This window comes from Homo sapiens, chromosome 8, assembly GCF_000001405.40.
Source record: "Homo sapiens chromosome 8, GRCh38.p14 Primary Assembly".
Lineage (NCBI taxonomy): Eukaryota > Metazoa > Chordata > Mammalia > Primates > Hominidae > Homo > Homo sapiens.
Window position 1 is genome coordinate 83,588,899 of NC_000008.11, and position 7,695 is coordinate 83,596,593.

Sequence of the window (7,695 nt, forward strand, 5' to 3'; positions counted from 1 at the left end):
CTTGACTAAGCTACAAGATGCCCAGATAATTGGTATTACATTATTTGTGGGTGTGTCTGTGAAGGTGTTTCTGGAAGTTATTAGCATTTGAATCAGGATATTGAATAAAAATTACCCTCACCAATATGAATGAAAATCATCCATTCCATTGAGGACCTGGATAGACAAAATGGCAGAAGAAGGACAAATTCTCCCTCGTTTGAGCTAGGACATTATCTTCTGCTGCCTTTGGACATTGCCTCTTCTGGTTCTCAAGCCTTTGGACTCGAGTCAAGACTTACACCATCACTCCTTCTGCACTCTCCCCTTCACTTCTCAGGCCTTTTTACTCAGACTGAATTATGCCACCAATTTTCTTGGTCATCTGGCTTGCAGATGACTTCTAGACTCTATAATTGTGTGAGCCAATTACCATAATAAATCTCATTGTGTGTCTATGTGTTTGTCTGTGTATGAGTGTGTGTGCGTGTTTATGTGGGGGGGGGGCAGTGTGTATGTGTATTCTCCCATTGATTCTGTTTTTTTCTGGAAAACTCTTGACTAATACGCTCTGTGTTCAAGGATGAGGACATGATTCCCCGTTTCTTAGGTGTGGGCTGTGCACAGCAACTTTCTTCCAAAGAATAGTAGTATGCAAAGAGAGATTTAAAAAGAGTAACTTTCCAGTGGAGAAACCTCTCAAATACTACTTCAGCCAGGTGATTAAGGCCAATATCAAGTCATAAACCATGTTGATAATGTGTACCCTTGATATGATGTGATGAAAACGACCCACCATTGAGCTCCTCCTAAAACCTATAACTCCAGTTTTATCATAAGGAAAACATTAGAAAAATTCCAGAGGAGCACATCCCCCCAAACTAGTCAGTAGTTTAAACTTTTAAGATCATGAAGAATAGACTCTTAGAAACTGTCACTAGCAAAAGAGTCCTACAAAATATGATACCTAAATGAAATGTGGTGCCTGGATGGAATCCTGAAACAGAAACAGACCTTAGATAAAAACTAAAGAAATCTCCACGTTATCATTAGTTAATGATAACGTATCATTATTGGTTCATTAATTGTAACATATGTACTATAAGAATGGAAGATGGCAATTATAGGGGAAACTGGATGCTGGACATTTGAGAATTCCCTGTATGTTCTTTTAAATTAATCTTTAAATCTATCATTTCTAATTTTATTTATTTGCATCTTCTCTTTTTTCCCATAATTATTCTGGCTGAAGCTTTGTCATTTTTTTTTAACTTTTCATCAAACCATTTTTTGTTCCATTTATCTTTTGTGTTGTTTTCTTTTTTCATTTCAATTTTATTTATTTCTGCTCTGATCTTTATCATTTCTTTTCTACAAATTCTGGGTTTGGTTTGCTCTTGCTTTTCTAGTTCTTTAAGATGCATCGTTAGATTGTTTATTTGAAGTTTTTCCTTGTTTTCATGCAGGCACAGATAGCTATAAACTTTCCTCTGAGTACTGCTTTTACTGTATGTATACCATGGGTTTTGGTACGTTTTGTTTCCATTATCATTTGTTTCAAGAAATGTTTCAGTTTCTTATTGCTGGTTATTGAGGGCCCAAGGAGTCTTCAGTTAGCAGGTGATGAATGCTGACGGGACTGAGTCCTTTCCTTCAAGGCAGCAGATCCTCTTCTGGCCCAGGGTGTGTCTAGACATGTCATCTGGGAGCTAGGGCCTGGAACAAGGGCCTCCTGACTCTGACTGGTGCCCTATGCTGCTGTGGCTGAGCTGGTATCCTAGATGTAAGACACAGTCCTCCTCACTCTTCCCTCTCCTCTCCTCAAGTGGGAGTTCTCCTACTGAGATACCATCTGGGGCAGCCAAGGGACTCTTGGCATCAACTGTCTCCTCAACCCAGGTGGCACAGCTTAGGGTTAGAGGAGGGGTGATGCCAACACCCACTTCACTGCCCCAGATGGTGTCTCAGTATTTTATGTATGTGTCCTGTCCTGACCCCAGTTCTCTGTCTCTGTGCCTATTTCAGCACTAGGACTCACCTAAAAGTTGCAGTACTTATAGCCCAGACTGCCTTTCAAATTTACTTGGAGACACAGCGTGTTGTGCCACACTGTGCCCTCAGTGGCAAGGTTTGAGGCACTCAGGTTTGAACCACTGGGATTGGAGATCCCTTTCTGGCTATGGTTGGATTAAATATTCACTCCGTGGACAGGTGCTAGCTGAGTTTGGTCTGGTTTTCCTCTTTGCTCTAACAGGACAACACTGAGTTCATTGCCTCACAGTTGCTGTGTTCTTCCCCCTCAGTGCCCAGAGAAGCTCTCTGCACCACGAAGCTGCTGCTGGGAGTGGGGGAGAAGTGGCATTGGCCATTTAGGATTGTTTTATTTTTATCTCTTCAGCACCTCTTTCAACTATATAAAGTTAAAGCCAGGTACTATGAATACTCACCTGATCTTTGGTTCTTATGAAGGTGTTTTTCCCATGTAGATAGTTGTTAACTTGGTGTCCTTCAGTGGAGAACAATTGGTGGAGCTTTCTATTCTGCCATCTTGTTCCTCTCCTACCATAAGTACTTTTAAACAAACAACAAAATACTGTGATGTAAAAATTTTAAGGAGTTTTGGAGATGTGAATTCTTTTTTAAGAGAGCCCAGAATAATTAGCCAATTTAATTCCAAAAGCAAATACCAAGCAATACCCATTTTAAGGTGCTGCTCAGTTGCAAATGAAAGGCAGAGAGAGGGAGATAGAGATAATTTGCTTCCTTAGCATCAACTCTTTGTTTTCTCAATAGGGGAGATCCAAAAGTGGAGGCAAACATAAAATTGGTTTGGGGAAGAGGTGCCATAGAGGAGAAATATAAATAGCTACAGTTCACTAATCATGTAAAACCAGGCTGGCAAGTATTATCTGACTCCATGGTCAGTCACTATAACACTGTGAGGAAATACATTTTTCAGTCAAAAAGCCCTAACCTAGATTAATGAATTTAGTTGATTTGAACATTTCCAACTTTTATTTTATTTTTCTATTCTCATTATATTACTTATTTTTTCTCTTCTGTACCACCTCAAACTCCAATAATGTATGCAAAGATCAAACACATTTTCTGTAGTTCTGTGACCAGCCTACATGGAAATATGTAACCCAAGGAATGTCTGCCTTACCCTGTTTCTCAGATTCTCCTTCAGAATTCATTGAACTCTAATTTCAAAATTTGTAACACAGCAGTAAAAATGATGGGCATGATTTATAGTTTTAGCAGTTGAATATAGTTTAAAATAAAATGTATTTATAGACTTTCTGTCTGCAAGAAATGTGCCACTCAAACTAATTAGTCTGCATTGTTTTCCAAAGAGAACCAAAATAATCTTACAACTATAACCTATGTGATAGCTAAATCAAGAATGTATATTCTAAGTTTATTGAGGGAGAGGTTTGTGTCTTATACTTGAAAAGATGATCTCCCACAATTTTCAGCCTATACTTTGTTTTGAATGCAATAAATAACGATGATGCTAAATCAAAGGCAAGAGGATAGCAAGAGTGCCCAGTAATGACTATGTGGCAGATCCCGTAATAGGTAGTAGTTCAAATTTTTTTGTGGTACCATATCGAACTACTATCATCTGGTCTCCAGAGAAGTTAACCAATGGCAACATTTCATTAGTGATTCTTTATCTGCAATTCCTTTGGAAAATTATTCTCTTTTAATTAAACTTACTTTAATCTGGAATAATTCCTCAGACTTCCTTTGTTTTTCAAGACATTTCAATTATTAGAGCTTACAGAGTAGTTATTGTAAAATGGCTCTCAATATGGGAATGTCTGTTGTTTCTTCATAATTAAATTCAGGTTATGCTTTTTTGGCACAGATAACACCAAAATAGTATTCAGTCCTTTTCAATAACATCATATTAAAAGCATCATGATGCCAGTTGGTTCTATTATTGATGATGTTGCATTTGATCTGTTGGCTAATGTAGCGCCTGCCATGTTTCTTTTCTATGAAGTTACTATTTTCCCTTTGAAATCAATAATTAATTTATAAGATAGATTGAATCTACACAGTTATGCTGTATCTCATCAAACTTTTGCCTACTTGATTTAGTATCTATTAATGATTATTGATATGTCACTGTGTAAGCATTTAATATATAGAAATGTGTATACAAGACTAAAATTATGTATCCAACACTGAAAAGTGAGGATTTAAAATAATGGTGAGTACTGTAAATAAGAGGTAATAATAATTCCTTTAAAAAATGATTTCATGAGAAAATATGAGGGAAATTTAAGTGAGACTTATCTAAGCAGGTGATATAGGAGCTGAGAATTAAATCAACAATGAATCAATAATACATTAACGGAATGGAGATTTCTAAGCAGAAAGAACAGCAAGAATAAAGATTCTATGAAAGAAAGAGATTGGCATCTTTAGCAGATAGAAAGAAGGCCAATGGATGAATCAACAGAAATTACGGAGAAAAGTAGAAGGTGTGATTTGAGATGTAGATAGGCTAGATCATGAGAGGCATTGTAGGTCTTTGTAATAATTATAAATTTTATGCTAAGTGCCATAAAAGGGCATGGGAGCAGATAAGTAACATGGGCTATATAATCTGTATTTGTAGATATATATCTATGTATATATACATATACTTACACACATGCAGTCATTACTGTAATCTAACATTAACATATTTTTTGGTAAGTTTTAGTAAACTACTCCTAAGTACCTATTATATTATTTGGTTAAGCTTAACCTCAGGAAAATTTTTTTTTTAATTTAGATATTTGTACCATATACAACTGTCATCAAGAATAGGCAAATGTGTGTATGATATCTTTAAGCTATAAAGTAGCAGGACAAATTTGCAGAATCAATGTGTACTTAAATAATTAATTATGCAGATATAAGCAATAACAAATAAGTGTCGAAAAATATGCGTAAAAAGAGATAAAAAGACAAAATCTTCAGAAAAATAATTTTAAAAAGCTTTTCAATTTTAGATTTGACAGAGTGTCTTTACTCTCTTTACTGTTCTTATCTGAAGTCTTTCCAGAGACACATATATTACATATGAGTTAATGTAAGATGAAGAATAATAGGTTCTCACATATCCTAATGCCTATCTCCCTTTCCTGGGTCAGCCAAGGTAAGTCCTTTCTCATCCATCATATGCTTCACACATCTAGAACACAGTTGCTTCACTGTAGTATTGGTATTTGCTCTTGTCTGGTGATCATATATTTCATAATTAATTGGAGGGATATTATCAGCTTAAATGAATTTTTAGAATTTCTGTTCTGTTGCACTATCCCAGGAGAATAAGAGGCATGTCATAGTGAATAGATAACTTTGTAATTATTTCAATTTACCATAGCACAATCTTTACAGCATGTAGCAATTACTGAGCATGACCACAAAATAATGTCCTCTTTTCCCACAGTTCCTCCAGCATAAATCAGACAAGAAAGCCTAGAGTTATCATAACTTAGTGTATAAATTAAAAGAAGTCTGGTATTAAATTTCTGTAAAATTATATGGCATAACCTAATATTTTGTATATTCAAAAAACTTTCCAAACCAAGGTCAATCTTCAGGAATTTTTACTGTTTCCTTTATAACATGTAACCTGTTTATTATAAAATTGCAAAAAACATCACACAGCTCAGCAGGATAACTTAGATTTTGCATCCCAAGAGAAAATATGCCAAAGATTTTTCACATCTATAAAAGCTGTTTTTCTAATTAAATATTCTGAATGTTTTATGAAAACTTGACAGCTGAACAAAAAGGGAAAATAAAGAAACATTGCTAAGCATGAGTAGGAAAATTGTGGAAATCTTTTCAGAAAAAAAGTATAACCAAAACACCTTATTATTTGACTTATTTTTACTAAACTGGAAAAAAATCATTGTAGGTGATTCTGTGAAGGTTAATCATGCATTGTCAGTAATGCAAAGCTGAGAGGCAGGCAGACTCAATTCTAAAAGAAAAATTTAATTTATCGATCTTCAAGTTGGAAAGCTGTCTTGGTTATGTCTACAAATTATTCTTCCATGTTATCAAAAGTAAGAAATATCTATACTGTAGGGCAGGAGACCACTGTGTGTGTATCAACTATATTGCCCTTCTATATTTCCTTGAAACGTTAGTCACCTGAAAAAAGAAAAGGCTATGGAACATTCACTGGCTACAGAATACGGACAAAAACATGCCAGGGAGGCAAAGAAACACTTGTTCAACTCTTCTACTAATTTGTGCAGACTACTTGGAAAACTACTGGATTTGTAATTAAACAGGCTAGGGGCCAGATCCTGATTGTTCAAATAACCAAATGTGCTAGCTTGAACAAATGACTCATCACATAATGTGAGATTCAAAATAAGCACCTCACTGTTTATGATGCAGACTAAATGCAATGATGTATAAAATGTGTTTCCAAGTTACTAGACATCCAATTTAACATTGCCCTCTTGCCTATTTCATTATGCTACATATTTCTCTCACAATAAGAAGAGAAACCAAACTCATGAACTGTTGACTTTATTTGACAGCATTTGTTGGATACTCACTATGGCAAGATCCATACTAAATTCTGAAGATAGAAAAAAAAATGGGCTACATTTTCTTAATCCAATCTATCATTGTTGGACATTTGGGTTGGTTCCAAGTCTTTGCTATTGTGAATAGTGCCACAATAAACATACGTGTGCATGTGTCCTTATAGCAACATGATTTATAATCCTTTGGGTATATACCCAGTAATGGGATGGCTGGGTCGAATGGTATTTCTAGTTCTAGATCTCTGAGGAATCGCCACACCGACTTCCACAATGGTTGAACTAGTTTACAGTCCCACTAACAGTGTAAAAGTGTTCCTGTTTCTCCACATCCTCTCCAGCACCTGTTGTTTCCTGACTTTTTAATGATCGCCATTCTAACTGGTGTGAGATGGTATCTCATTGTGGTTTTGATTTGCATTTCTCTGATGGCCAGTGATGATGAGCCACAACAGTCCCCGGTGCGTGATGTTCCCCTTCCTGTGTCCCTGTGTTCTCATTGTTCAATTCCCACCTATGAGTGAGAACATGCGGTGTTTGGTTTTTTGTCCTTGCGATAGTTTGCTGAGAATGATGGTTTCCAGCTTCATCCATGTCCCTACAAAGGACAAGAACTCATCATTTTTTATGGCTGCATAGTATTCCATGGTGGGGAGGGGGGAGGGATAGCATTAGGAGATATACCTAATGCTAAATGATGAGTTAATGGGTGCAGCACACCAACATGGCACATGTATACATATGTAACAAACCTGCACGTTGTGCACATGTACCCTAAAACTTATAGTATAATAATAATAATAAAAAAATGGGAAGGATACTTCTGAAATGAAATTCAAGAAAAAATATTCTGAAATATCACACTTAAGGAAAATTTGATCTAACTTATTTATCATTACTGGCCTTTTTCAATTCGATGGGTAGAACATTAGTGTCACTCTCATTTTGCTATGTGTTCTTGAACTTTGACAAATTACATTTCAATTCCTTGTGTTTCATTCATGTGCTAGTCTGTAGCCATAAGTACAAGGTTTATGGAGTCAAAACTGATCTTTAGTAAAATCTTGCCATAGGAGAATGGCCTTGGGCATTTTAAACTTTCTGAGGCTTAGTATTTATGTTATTTTTAAAAATTAATAGAGATAAT